General features: G+C 44.8%; 1 long non-coding RNA gene across 2 annotated transcripts in view, besides 1 other annotated feature; it reads right to left on the bottom strand.

Moving 5' to 3' along the window:
* Nucleotides 1-5,429: 5,429 nt before the first annotated feature.
* Nucleotides 5,430-18,262, bottom strand: part of LOC124902468 (uncharacterized) — a 28,799-nt gene continuing 15,966 nt past the window's right edge. For both annotated transcript variants that reach the window (XR_007062212.1, XR_007062211.1), the window contains exon 2: nucleotides 5,430-6,148. This is a non-coding gene — a long non-coding RNA (uncharacterized LOC124902468). The remainder of the gene's footprint in view (nucleotides 6,149-18,262) is intronic.
* Nucleotides 7,474-7,975: an enhancer, noted in NCBI's record as "H3K4me1 hESC enhancer chr10:80088023-80088524 (GRCh37/hg19 assembly coordinates)". NCBI's record gives its function as "activates a minimal SCP1, AML or CMV promoter by ChIP-STARR-seq in primed H9 embryonic stem cells {active_cell/tissue: H9 hESC(primed)}" and the evidence as "EXISTENCE:reporter gene assay evidence [ECO:0000049][PMID:30033119]".

Raw genomic sequence — 18,262 nt, 5'->3', positions numbered from 1 at the left:
GTGTGGGACATGGTCTGGAGGCCCCTCCCTCCTCCACCTTACTCCCAGGGCATGGAAACTTGGGCAGGGGAAGGCTGGAAACAGTGTGTGGGCACAGCTCTGGGAACCTCTGAGGTTGCTCCCGCTTTGCTCCTTCTCACTCCTTCCCTGACCTGCACCCAGATGGGTGGGGGCCTTGGGCACTTCCTCCATCCTGGCTGACCCCAGAGCTCCAGGGCACCAGGATCCTGGCCAGACCTCAGGGCACAGCATTCTGGGAATGCTCAGAGCCAAGGCAGCCAGGGCCAAGGGAGGCCAGGCCTGTTTCCAGTTTGGCCTTCCTTTGTTTTGCTGTTTCTGCTGTGGCCAGTGTGTCAGATCAATGTCATCCTTAAACCAACAGTGTGCATGGAGCCATGGCCCTCATTGACCATCAATTACCACAGGCCTGTCACCTTTGAAAGCATGTCAGCTGGTGCTCAGCATCCGCTCCTGCCACCTGCACCCTGCAGCTGAGCAAACACAGAGTGACCAGAGCTCGCCAGGGTCAGCCAGGGGCGGCTTCATCTTCCTTCCCCTCCTTGGCCTGATCCCTAAACCAAGGGGAAGAAAGCTGGCCTCCTTGTGGGAAAGGCCCTAAACACTGCATGAGAGCAGGTCTCTGAGTAGCTCTGTGGGTAATGGAAGCAGTTAGCTCAGGGAGAGATTTCTGGGTCAGGCCTGTCTCTGTCACTTATTAGCTTTGGGATCTTAGACGAGTTCCTCCACTTCTAAGCCTCATTCTCATCCCTATTTCACAAAAAAAGAAGGGAGTCTTGACCCTTGAGCTGCTGTAAGGTGCACACTCAGTAACCATAATAATGCAAATATTTCTAGAATGCCTCCCATGTGCATGGCACTGGGCTGAGCACTTGAATTCCACCATTTGATTCCTCCACCATCCCATGAGGTTTTGCCTAGTGAGAGGCCATGGAGCAGAGGAAACCAAGGCTCAGTGTGGCCAAGTGGCTTGTCCAACATCTCACATCTAATGAAGGGCGAAGCTGAGATCCCAATCCTATGCTCTCTGATTTCAGAGCCCTCATAGTTTTTAATCTTTTTCCTTGTTTAAGCTTGCATCTCTCTGGCCTTACTTTTTAAGTTTTTGCTGTGGAGATTTTCAGAGATGAGCAAACATAAAGAGAATAATTCAATGAACTCCCATGGGCCCATTACCCAGCTTCTATGATTACCAACACTCTGCTGTTCTTTCATCTATCCCCATTCCTACTCTTTTTTCTTTTAGGGCATCTCAAAACAAATGCCGGGCATGGGATTCCACCAGTAAATACATGAGTGCTGCAGAGCCTTGATTCCTCATCATTGTCTGACCCTCTTGGATCACTCTCCATCAAGGCTCTGCAGATAGGCGGTACAGAAAGATCAGGGGCCAATTCAGACCTGGGCTCAAACCCCAGCTTTGTTATTGTGTCTCTGTGGGCTTTTGATATATTGCTGCACCTCTCTGACCATCCAGCTCTTCTTCTGTAAAATGAAGAGCATGGTTGGAACTTCTCTGAGTTGTCATGTAAACAAGATAAGGAATGCTGGTGGGCCAGCATGTGGGACAGGCTTAATACACCAGGTTCCCCTTCCTGGGCCCAGTGTATTTGTTTCCTGGGGCTGCTGTGACAAAACACCACAAATGGGGTGATTTAAAACAACAGAGATTTATTCTGCCACAATTCTGGAGGTCCGAAGTCTGAAGCTAAGGTATCAGCAGGGCCGTGCTCTCACTGCAGCCACCAGGGAAGGCTCTGCTTGGGCCTCTCCTGGCTTCTGGTGGGTGCTGGCCATCCTTGGCATTCCTTGGCTTGTGGCAGCATCATTCTGACCTCTGCATCCATCTTCACATGGCCTCTCCATCTGTGTGTCTGTGTCCAAATTTCCCTTTTCTTATAAGAACACCAGTTATTAGATTAGGACCCACCCTGATCCACTGTGGCCTCATCTTAACTTGATTACATCTGCAAAGACCCTATTTCCAAATAAGGTCACATTCACAGGTTCAGGGTGGACATGAACCCAGCACCCCCAAGCTGCTGCCTACTGCTCAGGTCTGGGGGAGTTTTCCAGGGCAGGTCTGGGGACCTCCCATGCTGCCTGCTTGAGACTGAGAAACTCAACTCCTGGAGGAGGAAAGAAGAGTCTCCTGATGCCCTTTGCCATGCACCAGTCGTCCTGGTCACCAGCTTCCCAGAAAGCAGCCACTGAGCTCTGGCACTTGAGAGAAGGAAACCCAGCCTCAAGGTGGCTGCCTGCCACATGCCTTCCCACCGCACTCAAAACAAAGTCCTGTTTCCTGGCCCACAGCCCTTGTTAGGCTCACCTCAGCACCCCCTTTGCCCCCTGCCACCCACTCCAGCCTTCCTCAGGGCCCTAAGTGCCCTGAGCCCAGCTGCCTCCTGGCCCTCGCTTGTGCTCTCGTCTCCACAACCCTTCACCTGGGTAACTCCCGTCATCCTTTGGGCCTCAGCTTAACCATCACCCCCCACCACACACACGGAGACCTTCCTGATCCCACACAGCAGTCCTTCATGCTGTCCTTTCTTGAAACATCCTGTTCTTTCTCTCCAATGCTCTAATCACAATATCTATCCATTCTAGCGTTTGCTTACGTGTGTCCTGACTTACTCCCCCACTTCCCCCACTATAAGCCCCATGTGGGCGGTAACCAGATATCCCATTTACCTCTGCACCCAGCACTCAACACAACATCTGGCACACCACAGATGCCCAATAAACATATACTCACCCACCAATAATGAAGTCACTCTTCAGAACCTTCTAATTGTGCAGGGGAGAGAGGTCAAAGAGAGAGGGGTTTCTTCCCTTGCTGAGAAGGTAGGGCCTCCATCTGGAGGCCCACAAATGCACCTTTGCTGGAAAATCTCTGCTCCTCATGGGCTCCACACACAGCTCTGGGCTTGGCCTCTGGAGTCGCACGGAAGCCCCAACACCTCTGCCCCATCCCTGCCTTTCCTTCATGAGCAGATGGCTCCATGCTCCTCCACACGGGCCTTTCCTTCCCCGTCATGGCAGCCCCAGTTTGTTCTTTTCCTCCCCTTCCATCAGGGTCCAGGCTTCACCCCTTCTCCTTCTCTGCTCCATTTCATCCATGTCCCACCTCAGGTTCCGCATCCAGATCTGAGACCTCACAGGGAGGCATTCCAGGCATTCAAGATGGAGGAGGCCCTTTGGCCTGAGCCACCAAATAAGCCTCACAGGGAGGGGTTCCATGCACTCCAGATAAGGGGGAGCCCTTTGGCCTGAGCCACCACACCTCAGGTTGGCCTGGCCCTTATTTTAGGCTGGCTTCCCCTTGACAATATGTGGGATTTCTGGAGGGGAGGCCCTGGACCCAAAACATGAAGTTAGCAATAGGACTGGCCCTAGGCAGCAGATGAGTGGGAGGTGCCTGTGACCCATGCATGGGAGGCATGGGGATAACATCATGATGTGACCCATGCAGAACTCAAGGCACAGCATGTGTTAGTGGCACCCCTCCCACACCAAGCCCTACAACCCAAAGATGCAGCTCATTTGGCTGCCACACAACATAAGGCCCCATGTGTGCCTACCGACCACTAAAATCCCAAATGGAAAGCCAGAGGACACGAAAGCACCCTTTTACGAGGACAAACTCTTTACAATCCAAATTAGACCCACAGGGTCTAGCTGGGGCTGAGTCCCACAGCCTTGAAGGTAAGGCCTTCACTTGATCCCTGATGACCAGATAGAAATGAGAGATGTCATTCCCTGAACATGTGGCATGGGAGAAAAATGACTATATAGGGACATTGAGCTGGAAAATGCCACAAACATTATCAGGTTCAGCCGTCTGCCTTCAAGTAACAGAGGAACCCTGATAAGACACCTGAGACCCTCACTGGGGAATCATCTGGGCCAAAGTGCCCCAGCGAGTTCGGGTAGGAACCAGGGCCCTGTAAGCCCTGGACAGTGTTTGCTCCACCACTGCTGCAGAAAAAGGCAGCAGAAGCCCATACCAAGGAGGAGGCAGAGAGGATAGGAGGACCCGGCAACACCCATTTACGCCTCTGCCAGCGCCTCTGGGCACTGTCCAGGACACATCCTGTACCCAAACAGCCCTACTCTACTGTGCTGGGAAGGCTGCTCCCAGTGATTTCTCGCTTAGCAAATGAAATTGACCATGGCATGTTAAAAATCTAAAAACCCAAGGAAATGGCAAACAAAGGGACCGAGATTTCAGCCAGTTTTTAAGTAAATAGAACCAGACCTTGCACCCCTGGCCTTTGCTGGTCCTCCTCTCCTCCCTGGTGTGGACATCTTCAGTCGCACTCTCTTGCCCTGAGTGTGCCTTGGGTGTCACTAGAAAACCTGGGCTGTTTAGGGAAAGACCCAGCCCTCCCCAGCTGCACCCCCACAAGGCAGTTATGGATGAGTTTCAAGCAGGCATCATGGAAATGTCACTTCCGCCAGCCGCACCCCTGCCATTCACCCCCACACAGCAGGGCCCTCTTCCCAATCCTGCCTGTCTGAAATGGGAGGCCAGCCCTGGAACTTTTCAATCAGACAGAATTCCCACTGCTCGGCTTTTGTTTTATTTTCTCTCTCTCTCTCTCCCTCCCCAGCATTAGTAATGACTGGCTTGGATGCTGGAATGAGTCAGCCCCACTGGAGGACCAATTAGCTCGTCCACAGGCAGCCCATTAACTCTTCCCAGGACCCCAGGTATCAGGCAGCAGTCTCCCCTCTTCGTGAGCCCCAGGGGCTCCTCCTTTGGGCCCTCTCCAGCCATGACATCCAACCCATTTCCCTCACCTCCTGCCACTCCCTGAATCCAGGTCTCATCACCTCCTCTGGACTTGTTCCCCACCTTCTAACAGGTCTCCCTGCCTTGGATACCATCTCCTGCTATTCTCTTCTCTCCCTAACTGCTTGTACAGTGACTTCATAAACCGAGATCTACTCATGCCACAACCCCGCTCAAAAACTCTCTGTGGCTCCTTATTGCCCAAAAGGGTAAAATTTACTCTTGCCAGACTTGCACTTACTGTCCACTCTAGAATCTGTTGTCCTCCTTTTCTAACCCTCTCTGGAGCTGGTCCCCTATGTGAGCCCTCCCCAGGGCCTAAACACCTACCCAACCCCTGGGCTCTGCACCTTTGCTGCTGCTGGTTCTCCTATTTCGAATACAATCTCTTAACCTGTGGAAATCCAGCCCCTCTCTCAAAGCTTGGCTCCAACCCTACGTACTCTTTAAAGCCTCCCCACCATCCTTCATTCCAAAACCACTCCTTCCATTCAGAACTCTATTGCATTTCTGCCACTCAGCACATAGCAAGTTCCAATTGTAATTTCATGGAACTATTCCTCACAGGCTTGGTCTTCTCAACAAGATTGGAACTTTCTTATCAACAACTTCAGTATTCAAGAATGAGGGATCACTTTAATAAATTACAGAATATCTATATAGTAGATGACTGTTAACCATTAAAAATAAGTGACAGAAGAAAGGATTGAAGATTGATACAAAAAGATATTGATTATATATTAATTTGGGAAAAAAAGATCACAAAACAAGGTACACATGAAGTGTCCAGTTTTGCTTGAAATACATGCTTGCATAGGAAAAGAGTCAGATTCTTCAACATAAGGCTGAATAGTATTTTTTAAACCTGGGTAGTATTATTATGAACCATTTTCTTTTTTCTTATCTGTATTTTCAATAGTAAATATGTATTATTGTATAATAAAAAGCAATAAAATGTGTATGTTTAAGATTGAGGGATTATATATTTTAAAGTACTTTGCGACCAGGAAGATGAGTTCTTCAGGCTCTTTTCGTATTCATCAGAGGGCTGGAAATATAGGGCACACTCATTTTGTGTGTGCAGTGGCAGTGAAGCTGTTGAGGATTATGAAGATCTAGACTTTTCAGCATCCATCAGTCCCAAACCTTTCCTTTTGCAGAGGAAGAAGCCCACGGTCTTTTCATCCTACTCTTGAGCATCTCTCTGGGCCAGGCCCTTTGCTGACAGCCTCACCAGTAGTCCAAAATCCACCATTCAGGAGCTGCCTCCTGGCTTTGGGAAAAAAGCCAGGAGGGTTAGGAGCTTCTTTCATTCCCACCTTTTTAGGTTTTGATCTAAAAAATGAGAGATGCTATTACCAGCCTGATTTAAAGATTGAGAGGAGCAGCACCTGCAAAATACAGCCAGGACAACAGAGTAGACAATAAATGTTTGCTATTATTGCTACAATATACTTGTGTGGTCCTGACAGACTCTAAGTGGGCACTTACCACTGCCATTTTATACTTAACGAAAACCAAGAGGAGTAGAGAACTTAAAACTTATACACATGGCCAGGTGCAGTGGCTCATGCCTGTGATCTCAGCACTTTAGGAGGCCAAGGCAGGCAGATCACTGGAGGCCAGGAGCTTGAGACCAGCCTGGCCAACATGGCAAAACCCCATCTCTACCGAAAATACAAAACTTAGCTGGGTGTAGTGGTGTGCACCTGTAGTCCCAGCTGCTCAGGAGGCTGAGGAACAAGATACCCTTGAACCCAGGAGGTGGAGGTTACAGTGAGCCAAGATCACGCCACTGCACTCCAGCCTGGGTGACAGAATGAGACTCTGTCTCAAAAAAAAAAAAAAGAAAAAAAAAGTACAAACACACAAATCAAATGCACACAAAAATAACCAAAAATCCTGCTCAGAGCACTGCATCTCAGAGATGGAAGAGGCAGATTTCACATTCAGGTCTGTGGACTCTATGGAAGCTATGCTTCCAGTGGTAAACTGCTGTGATATCAAGGACGGGGTTAGGGAAAGAGGGGTGACTTGTCCAAGGCCACACAACTAATTAGGGGCAGAGCTGGGATTAAGCCCAACATATACTTCAGCAAGTCATTTACCAAGAGGGCTTCAGAATGTCTGAATAGAGGTGCCTGGCACCGGAGGAGATAACTACAGGTGGACTCACGTGTCTAAGAGAGAATGGTGGGATTCAGCAGGGAGGCAGCAGGGAGCCGCAGAGGCATGGAAGAAGAAGGAAGTGAAGCAGCTGGCCTGGCCAGGATCAGCTCAGAGCCTGGATAAACTCCCCACTGCAAGGAAAAGGTAAGGAGAGATCCCAGTAGCCCACATCATGGACTCCTGCAATCCTAGCCACGGGAGAGCCCCTTGGCCTTCGTGGGCCCTGAGACGAGTAGAGGGAGCTGTGTGGAATCTGTGTGAAGGTTTTGTTCCAGAAAGACAGCTCATGCTGGGTGCCACACACCCCCGAGATGCAATCAGCTGCAGCACAGCGCCATGTTGAGATCCTAGCACCCACTAGACTGCATCCTGTCCTGGGGCCCAACATCCCCTGCATCTCCATATCCCTGGAGCCCCACTGACATCCTTCACACATCCACCCAGAGACCTGCAGCGTTGTGATGCCAGGACCTGGCCACTCCTGCCAGGTCTCCAGCATTCCAGCCCACACAGTGTGCTACACCCCAGGGAATGAGTGGTGCAGCACCCCAGGGAGGCTTCCCCTGAGACAAAGGGAGCTGAAGCACATGCTCCTAAGAGCCAACTGCCTGGGGCTGATATCCCTGACAGCACCCCCGACCACTCCAGTGGCAAAACTACTGGGCAGCTAGCTGCATGTGTCTTCAGGGGGTCTAGGGATTGGGACATCTGGGTGCCACCCTAGGGCCTGAGGACAGGCTGTCCTCACCCGCCACTGCCATCACTGGCATTTGCATATGCCATTTAGGGACTGAGGACAACCCCATGGCACTCACTGCCACCACTGCCAGTATCTGTGTACGCTACCTAAGGTCCTAGGAATCAGTCCACCTCACCTGCCACCACTGGCACTCTTGCACACCTTCCAGGGTCCTAAGGACAGGCCTGCCCCACCTGCTGAATTGACTCACCCTGCCTGCTACTGCCATCAGCATCCACATGGGTTGTCTTGGATCCTGGGGATTGATCCATCCTGTCTGCTCCAGCACACACTCTCTAGTAGCTGACAACAAGCTTGACCCACCCACTGCCACCACTGCTAACATATAAACAAACCATCTGGGCGTCTGGGGATTGACCCACCTTGTACACCATTCCCAGTGCCCACATACACACCTTCCAGGGACCTGAAGACAGGTCCGTCCTGACCACCTCAACTACCTGAATGCACTGACTGGAGGCCTGGGGATAGGCCCATCCTGCCAGCCACCAGCACCCATGTGTGCCTCTCTGGAGTCCAGGGACTAGTGTATCTAGTCTGCCTCTGCCACCACCACTGGCACCCACCTGCCCACCACTGCTCATGCCTGCACATGCTGCTTGGAGGCCCAAGAGTTGGCCCTCCACCACTGCTGCCACCACAAATAAATACTACACACACCAACCAGGGGCTCAAAGACATGCCCACATACTTGGCCCACTGCTGCCAATTCTGGCATCCAAACAAGCTGCCTGGTGGCCTAAGGACTGGCCCACTTGGACCCATGACCAACAACACCCACATACACTATCAGGGGCCTGAGGACCAGCATGCTCAGCCTGCTGCCACCACCACTGGGTACCAAAGGACTGGCCTGCCTAGCATCCCTGTCCCTAGTAAAGTCTTGCCACAGCCCCTACTAATGACCACTGCCTAAGCCACCGAGGAACTCACAAACACCACTGATGCTGATTACAGATGAAGAAATCATACAAAGACCACACTACTGCAACTATCCAGAATCAAAGCCAAAACACCCTACCCAACCAACACTATAGATACACCTATGGAAAAAAAGTCTTTTCCTACAAAAGCCAATCTATAAAATTGGAAGATGTAATTATTAAATTAAATGTGCAGATATCAATGTAAAAACACATGAAAATGCAAGGAAAATGACACCTCCAAAGGAATACAATAAGCCTCTAGTAATAGTTCCCAACAAAAAGGAAATCTATAAAACACCTGAAAAAGAATTTAAAATAATTATATTTAAGAAACTCGGTGAGATATAAGAGAACACAGAGAAGCAATACATATAAGTCAGAAAAACAATTTATGATCTGAATGAGAAGTTCAACAAAGAGATAAGCATAATTTAAAAAAAAAGAAATTCTGAAAATGAAAAATTCAATAAATAAAATTTAAAAACAATTGAGAGTTAAAACAATAGGCTAGATTAAGCAAAAGAATGTTGAAATAACCCAGTCAGACAAAACAAGAAAAGAAAAAAGAATGAAAAAACCTACATGATATATAGGACACCATAAAGTGATCATATAGTCAAATTTTAGGATTTACTGGAGAAGATATGGGCAATAGTATAGAAAACCTATTTAATGAAATAATAGCTGAAAATTTCCCATGTCTTACAAGAAATATAGACAGATACAGGAAGCTCAAAAATCTCCAAAAAGATTAAACTCAAAAAGTCTTCTCCAAAGCATATTATAGCCAAACCATCAAAAGTCAAAGATAAAAAGAGAATTCTAAAAAACAGCAAAAGAGTCAAGTCACATATAAGGAAGTCCAATTCAACTAACAGTGGATTTCTTAGCCAAAACCTTACAGAACGGGAGAGAATAAAATGACATATTCAAAGAGCTGAAAGAAAAAAAAAAACTGCCAGCCAAGAATACTTTAACAAGCAAAGCTATCCTTCAAACATGAAGGAGAAATAAAATCTTTCCTAGACAAGAAAAACTGAGGGAATTTATCACCACTAGACCAGGCCTATAAGAAATGCTCAAGGAAGCCCTACATCTGGAAGGAAAAGAACAGTACCTACCACCATAAAAACACACAAAAGTATAAAACTCATTTGTAGACCAGATATAAAAGTGACAAAAAGAGAAAGAGAAATGAGTCAAATATTACCACTACAGAAAACCACCAAACTGCAAAAAAACAATGAGAGGAAGAAACTAACAAAGGATATACAAAATAATGATAAAACAATTAACAAAATGACTTGAATACATCCTCACCTGTCAATAATAACCTTAAATGTAAATAGATTAAATTCCCTACTTCAAAGATACAGACTGGCTAAAGGGGAAAAAAGAAACATGAACCAACTATGTATTTGCTACAAGAAATTCACTTCACTTGTAAAGATACACACAAACTGAAAGTGAAGAGATGAAAAAAATATATTCCACACAAATGGAAATCAAAAGTGTGCAAGAGTAGTTAGATAAAACAGACTAATGATCTTTGTCTCTTTTTATCATTTTTGACTTAAAGATGATTATATGATGATAAAGTGATCAATTCAGCAAGAAGCTGTAACAATTATAAATATATATACACCCAACACCACAGCAGTATTACTACAAATAATAATAGTTGAGGACTTGAACACCTCACTCTCAGTTTTATAGGGATCATCTAGACTGAAAATCATCAAAGAAATATTGGATTTAAACTGCACTTTAGGCCAAATGAACCCAACAGACATTTACAGAACATTTCATCCAACAATGGCAGAATACACGTTTTTCTCATCAGCACATGGAACATTCTCTAGGATAGACCATAGGTAAGAACACAAAACAAGTCTCAACAAATTTTTAAAAATCAAAATTACATCAGGTATCTTCTCAGACAACAATGGAATAAAACTAGAAATCGATAACAAAAAGAAACTTTAGAAACTATAAAAATACTTGGAAATTAAATAACATGCTCCTGAACAACCAATGGACCAATGAAAAAATTAAGAAGAAAATTTAAAAATTTTTTGAAACAAATGAAAATAAAAACACATCATACCAAAACCTATGGGATACAGCAAAAGCAGTGCTAAGAGGGACATTTATAACAATAAATGCCTACATCAAAAAAAGTAGAAAGACTTCAAATAAGCAACCTAATGATGCACCTTGAGGAACTAGAAAAGCAAGAACAAATAAAGCACAAAATTAGCAGAAGGAAAGAGATAATAAAGATCAAAGCAGCTAAATGAAATACAGACCTATAAAACAATACAAAAAATCAATGAAAAAAAGTTGGTTTTATAAAATGGCAAGCAAAATCAATAAACCACCAGTGCAACTAACCAAGGAAAAAAGAGAAATGACCCAAATATATAAAATCAGCAACAAATAAGATATTACAACATGATACCACAGAAATACAAAGGATTATTAGAGACTATCAGGAACAACTATACGCTAACAAACTGGGGAACCTAGAGGAAATGGTTAAATCCTTGGACACATACAACCTACCAAGATTGAATCAGGAAGAAATAGAAAACCTGAGCAGACCAATAATGAGTAATAAGATTGAATTAGTAATGAAAAGTCTCCCAACAAAGAAAAGCTGAAGTAGCTTTACTGCTGAATTCTACCAAACTTTTAAAAAACTAACACAAATTCTTCTGAAGCTATTCCAAAAAATTGAAGAGGAGTAAATTCTTTCTAACTTATTCTATCAGGCCAGCATTACCCTGCTATCAAAATCAGACAAGAACACAACAAAAAAAGAAAACTACAGACCAATATCCCTGATAAAAATAGATGCAAAAATTCTGAACAAAATGCTAACAAACTGAATCCTACAACACATTAAAAAGATAACACACTATGATCAAGTGAGATTTAGCCCAGGGATGCAAATCCACATATGCAAATCAATAAATGTGATACATTACATTAACAAAATGAAGGCAAAAACCATATTATATGTCAGTAAGTGCAAAAAAATTTGATAAAATTTAGCATCCCTTCATGATAACTCAACAAACTAAGCACAGAAGGAACATACCTCAACATAAAAAAGGCCACACATGACAAACCCTAACCTAACATACTAAATGGGGAAAAGCTGAAAGCTTTTCCTCTAAGAACTGGAACAAGACAAAGATGCCCACTTTTACCACTCTTATTCAATACAGTACTGGAAGCCCTAACCAAAGCAATCAGGCCAGAAAAAGAAGTGAAAGGCATTCAAGTTAGAAAAGAGAAAGTCATATTTTCTCTCTTTGCGGATAATATGATCTTATATCTAAAAAATACTAAATACTCCACCAAAAAAAACTCTTAGACTAGATAAACAAATTTAGTAAAGTTGTGGGATACAAAATCAACATTCAAAAGTCAAAAAAAATTAGTTTTTTTCTACACACTAGTAAACTAGCTGAAAAAAAGAAATCAGGAAAACAATCCCACTTACAATAACTACAAAAAAGGATAAAATCCCTAGGAATAAATTTAACTCAGGAGGTGAAAGCCTCTACAATGAAAGCTACAAAATACTGATAAAAGAAATTGAAGAGAAAACAAACAAATGGAAAGATATCCCATGCTCATGGATCAGAAGAATTAATATTGTTAAAATGGCCACACAACTCAAAGCAATCTTCAGACTCAATGCAATTCCTATCAAAATGTCAATGACATTCTTTACAGAAGTTTTCATAAAACACCAAAATTCCTATGGAACCACAAAAGACCCCAAATAGCCAAAGCAACACCGAGCAAAAAGAACAAAGCTGGAGGCATTATACTTCCTGACATCAAAATATATTATTAGGCTATGGTAATCAAACCAGAATGATATTGGTATAAAAATAGATATATAGAGCAATGGAACAGAATGGAGAATTCAGAAATAAATCCATGTATTTACAGCCAACTGATTTTCAACAAAGGCACTAAGAACATACCCTGGGGAAAGGGCACTCTCTTCAATGAATGGTGTTGGGAAAACTGGATATCCATGTGCAGAAGAATGAAATTAGACCCATATCTCTCACCATATACAAAAATCAACTCAAGATGAATTGAAGACCTAAATATAAGACTCAAAACCACAAGATACTAGAAGAAAACAAAGAGGAAACACTTCAGAACATTGGTCTAACAAAGACCTTATGTCTAAGACTTCAAAGGCACAGGCAACAAAAACGAAAGTAGACAAATAGGACTACACTAAGCTAAAAAGCTTCTGGACACCAAAGGAAACAATCAAGAGATTGAACAGATAACTTATAGAATGGGAGAAAATATTTACAACTATTCATCCAACAAGGGACTAATATCCAGAATATAAAAGGATCTCAAACAACTCAACATCAAAACAAATAATCCCATTAAAAAGTGGGCAAAGGACATGAATAAACATTTCTCAAAGGAAAACATACAAGTGGCCAATAGGTATATGAAAAAATGTTCAACATCACTAATCATCAGGGAAATGCAAATCAAAACCACAATAAAATATCATCTCATCCTAATTAGAATGGCTATAATAAAAAAAATACTACCAAGGATGCAAAGAAAAGGGAACTCTTACACACTGTTGGTGGGAATATAAACTAATACACTCATACAGCCATTATGGAAAACAGTAAGTTTCCTCAGAAAACTAAAATTATAACTACCATACAATTTCACAATCCCAGTACTGAGCATTTGTCCAAAGGAAAGGAAATCAGTACATCAAAGGGATACTTGCACCCCCATGTTTAGTGGAGCATTATTCACAAGAGCCAAGATATGGAATAAACATAAGTGTCCATCAACGGACAAATGGATAAAGAAAATGTGGCATATATACACAATGGAATACTATTTGGCCATAAAAATGAATGAAATCATATTATTTTCAGCATTATGGATGGAACTGGAGGTGATTATGTTAGTGAAACAAGCCAGGCACAGAAAGAAAAATATCACATGTTCTTATTCATATGTGAGAGCTAAAAAAGTTGATCTCATGGAAGTGGAGCTTAGAATGATAGCTACCAGAGGCTGGGAAGGGTAAAGAGGGAATAAAGAGATGTTGGAAAATGGATACAAACATACAGTTAGAGGAAGTAAGTTCTACTGTTCAATGACTCAGTAAGGTGACTAGAATTAGCAATTATTTAACGTATATCTCAAAATAGCTATAAGAGAAGATTTAAAATGTTCCCAACAAAATAAAGATAAATATTTGAGGCAATAGATATCCTAAATACCCTGATTTGATCATTATACATTGTATCCATGTATCAAAATATCACATGTACCCCATAAATGGGGCTAGCCCATTTATGTTTAGCATACCAATAATGGAACATTAAGCATGCGGGAGTTATTTATGTCCTAATGCTCAAGGTCATCACGAAGGTCTGTTTGCAAAAATTAAAAAAATTGCAACCTCAGGCATAAATGAGTTCATATGTATGATTATTATACATCAACTTAAAAAGACATTTACGTTCATATGTCTTTCAATACTTTAATAAAACAATCAGGGTCATCCTTTTCATGAAAAACTAGTCTTTCAATATTGTGGCCACAGAGATCCAATTCTGGGTTTTCTAGGAATGGGTTTGAACTGGGCCAGATCCCCAAGGGCTGGGTCTGCTTGGAAGGCTTGTGAACACTATGCCTCAGCCATGTCTCAAGGAAGTGCTCAGAAAACAAGCAGTGTCAGGGATGGACACAAGATGAGCCTGCAAGGGGGTAGACACAGTCCCCTAGCGACGACCTTGTTCTCAGGAGGTATGAGCAAAGTCCAGTGGGCCAGGCAGCTTGCATGAAGTAAGGAGATCACCAGGTCAAAGGGGCTTAGACGCCAGCTGCCTTTATACCCCTAGATTGGTAGAGGGCCACATCTGTACTCAAGGGTCCACCAACACCCGCCATGAGAGGACATGTGTGGCTACACCTCAGCCAAGTACTCCTGCTCTACACTTTCTGCTGCATCAGCCATGGCCAGCCAAATATATGACCAGGGTAGTTAGAACTTCAGGTTGATTCTGCTGCTAGCAATTTGTAGGAAAAGGAGAAATTGAATATCCCTGAGGTCTCTTTTCTGAGACACTGTGAAACAGAGAGAGTTGTTCTCCATCCCCCAGGTTAATTCTCAGGACATAACACTACACTCCCCCACTCCTAACTCCCCACTCCCCACCCAGCCACCATCCCCATTCTTTTGTCCTAGCTCATCTCTGAAAGCACCCCAGCACAGTGGAGTCACGTGCACACCATATGAGCCATGGTGGGAGTTCTCATCAGGGCCCAAGCCCACACATGAAGCCTTATCTATCACCACTACACGTGAGTCTGCAAATAAATTTCAAATGTCAGCAAGCAACTAGGAGATGAATGGGTGAATGTAGTCACATGTTCCTTAGGTTTTCTACTGTAAGACAGCACTATATCAGATGTAGGGAGAGAACCATTTATTTATCAGACTTTGACTGAGCATCTGATGTGTACAAGACACTAGGAGAACTCATCCTTTTCCTGCCCCAGAAAGCAAACCAGAAGGACATCAAAGTCCCTGCCTAGCTGCCCATCCAACTTGGTGTTTCTTGAAGCTAAGCATCACTTCTGAGAACAATGAGACATCTACAAAGCTGTGATTTTCCCCCCACTGCATTAAAGATTGTCACTTATTAAAATAAGCACTGTGCTTTACAAAGCAAGCTACAGGACTCAGGCATGCATAATGCAATGCATCCTGCAGCTTTATACGCTCAGCATCCTTGCATCTCTTTCTGATGACCAGCCACTGTGTTACCATTCTTTCCTGTGCCTCTCGGTAACAAAGGAATGCCCGTCCAGGGCACATGATTGCTGTTTGCTGTGATACTGCAGTGAACGGCCCCAGAGTGCCGGAAACTCCCTCTATCTTCTCTCACTGTCAGCCTCAGCACTCCTTCCTTCCTGTCCTTACAGGTTCACAACACCCATCAACAAAAATACATAATCCCTGCCATATTCTTGTTACCCAAGTTCAGGACCCATTCATTCATTCATTCACCAAAGGCTCTCTGAGCACCTGCTCTGTGCCAGGCTCTCAGAGATCCCTAAGAGATCAGAAATGAATAAAGCCTGTCCCCACCTCCCTTCCAGCCACATTTGCAAACCGGGGCAAACCTACTTCACCTGTCAGAGCCTCAGTCTCTTTCCGTACCCAGGTGGGAGGTCAAAGCTGGAATAGTCCTTAGAGATGATCTAGAGTAAAAGTCCCCCAACTATGACCAGAAGGTCAAATCCAGCCTGTCATCAAGGAAAGTACATAAGATCTACATAGTCAAAGAAAAGAGCCCTCCACCTGACTCCCAGGTGGCCACCTCCACACAACCTTCAGGCTTCCTCTTTGGGCCTGGAGACACCCCCTCTTCCATGTGCTCAGCCAAGGAACAAGGATACAGGAGGAGGGACTGTGTCTCGCTCCATGTGTTCCTGGAAGCCAGGGATGTCTGCCTCCCTGTTGTGGGCCCTTGGCCTCTCCTTTGTGCCTGAATTCTTAAATGCCTGCCCCAGATCTGACTGCTCCAAGGGTAGAGTGAGCCTTTGGGGTGTAACTGCCTTCTTCTATCACCTGGGCTCACACTCGGCCCTAGGCCCATGTGCCACACCCCTTCTCTCTGGGATAAAATTACAGCCAGAGACAAAGGTTAGAGGTTAGGAAGGGATTCTCAGCCCACTACAACAGGAATACTCCGTGGAGGTTATTTTATAATCTCACCAACTAGAGAAACAGTCCCTTACACCCCCAAACACAGAGGCCTGGAGTCTGAAGGGGGTTGCTGTGTGATGACTGCAGGAAGTACACAGGCTTTGCACTGCTTCCCGTGGTGTGGACTTGAGCCTGTACATTACCTCTCACAGCCTGAGGGAAACCAGGACACAAATAAGGGGCATTTCACAATGATGTGCTGGGGATTAATGAGATTACAGAAGCAGAGGCCTAGCACAGTGGCCAGCACAGGGCAGATGTTGAGTCAGCCCGAACCTGCTCCCCGAGACACGTGCACACACCACCGCTGGATGTGGAAACTGCAGGCGCCGCAAAGGCAAATAAGTAAGCTGTCCAAGGTCACACAGCTAGTAAATGGCAGGGCTGGGGTTTGAACCTGTCTCCTACGATGGCCTGTGCTTGTTACCTCTTACAGGTAGACAGAAATTAAATCAGTAAACAAATGAATGGACAAGGTAGGGACAGGTGCTGCGAAGAAAACAAGTCAGGTGGATGTGATTGCCTCACGGGGACTGCATTAGATTTGCTTGTCAGAGCTGGCGTTTGAGCAGAGAAAGAGCCAGCTTTGAGAACATCTGGGGAAATACCTGTAGACAGAGGAGGCAGCAAGTGCAAAGGCCCTGAGATAATGCAGTGAATATTCATCACTCTCAGTTGAGGCTCCCCTTGAAAACCAGGGCCTTCCATAGGAGGTAAAATGCCAGATATTTGTTTTGTCAGTGATATGGTTTGGCTGTGTCCCCACCCAAATCTCATCTTGAATTGTAGCTCCCATAATCCCCTTGTATCATGGGAGGGACCCGTGGGGAGGTAATTGAATCATGGGGGCAGGTCTTTCCCATGCTGTTCTCGTGATAGTTAATAAGTCTCATGGGATCTGATGGTTTTATAAATGGGAGCTCCCCTGCACAAGCTCTCTTGCCAGCTGCCATCTAAGATGTATCTTTGCTCTTTCTTTGCCTTCCATGATTGTGAGGCCTCCCCAGCCACGTGAGACTATGAGTCCAGTGTTCTTCTAAAAAGAAAAGGAACCTCTTTTTCTTTTATAATTACCCAGTCTTGGGTATGTCTTTATTAGCAGTCTGAGAACAGACTAATACAGTCAGCCTGCCTTGCAGCTAGCACATGGCTCATTTAGGCTCCTCAATCAGACATGCTGATCCTAGACCTTGAGTCAGAAGTGAGTGACACAAAGGAGCTGGGGCTGTACAGGCTGCAGGCTGACAAGGGTGTCCTTAATGCAGTAACCATATCCAGTCTCTGGGGCAGCTATGGCTATGGCTATGTGGCAGACTTCATGTTCAGTGCCAGCACTGTTGGCAGGGATGGCCATGGTGTCTGCGCCCAGGAGCAACATCTCAGAGCTGCTCTACAGCATGATTGGGGATGCTATTTCTAGCTACATCACCTTTAATCTTAGTTTTCTGGCTTTTTAGGAGATTCAGTAAACTCCATAATATTGTTTTAGTAAATTTATTTTCTGCTTGAAACACCTGAAGTCACTCTCCATTGCTTGCAATTTGGAACCCTGACAGATACATGCCCAGACCATGAGTGCCCACCCAATATCCATGTGCTCCCCTCCAATGCCCAGCCTCCCCTACATTTGTGCTTGGGCTGTGTGACTAGTTCTAGCCAACAGACTGTGAGCATAAGCGACAAGTGTCAATGCTGGGCCAAATAAATTTCCCACCAGGGCCACATTGGATGCCACGCTTTGGGGCAGCAGCATCATAAAATGGAGGGAACCTGGATTCCTGAGTCACTAGGCAGAG

The sequence above is a fragment of the Homo sapiens genome, chromosome 10 (assembly GCF_000001405.40).
Source record: "Homo sapiens chromosome 10, GRCh38.p14 Primary Assembly".
Classification (NCBI taxonomy): Eukaryota; Metazoa; Chordata; class Mammalia; order Primates; family Hominidae; genus Homo; species Homo sapiens.
The sequence above is the reverse complement of the archived record's forward strand: the minus strand, read 5'-3'. Positions and strand labels throughout refer to the sequence as shown.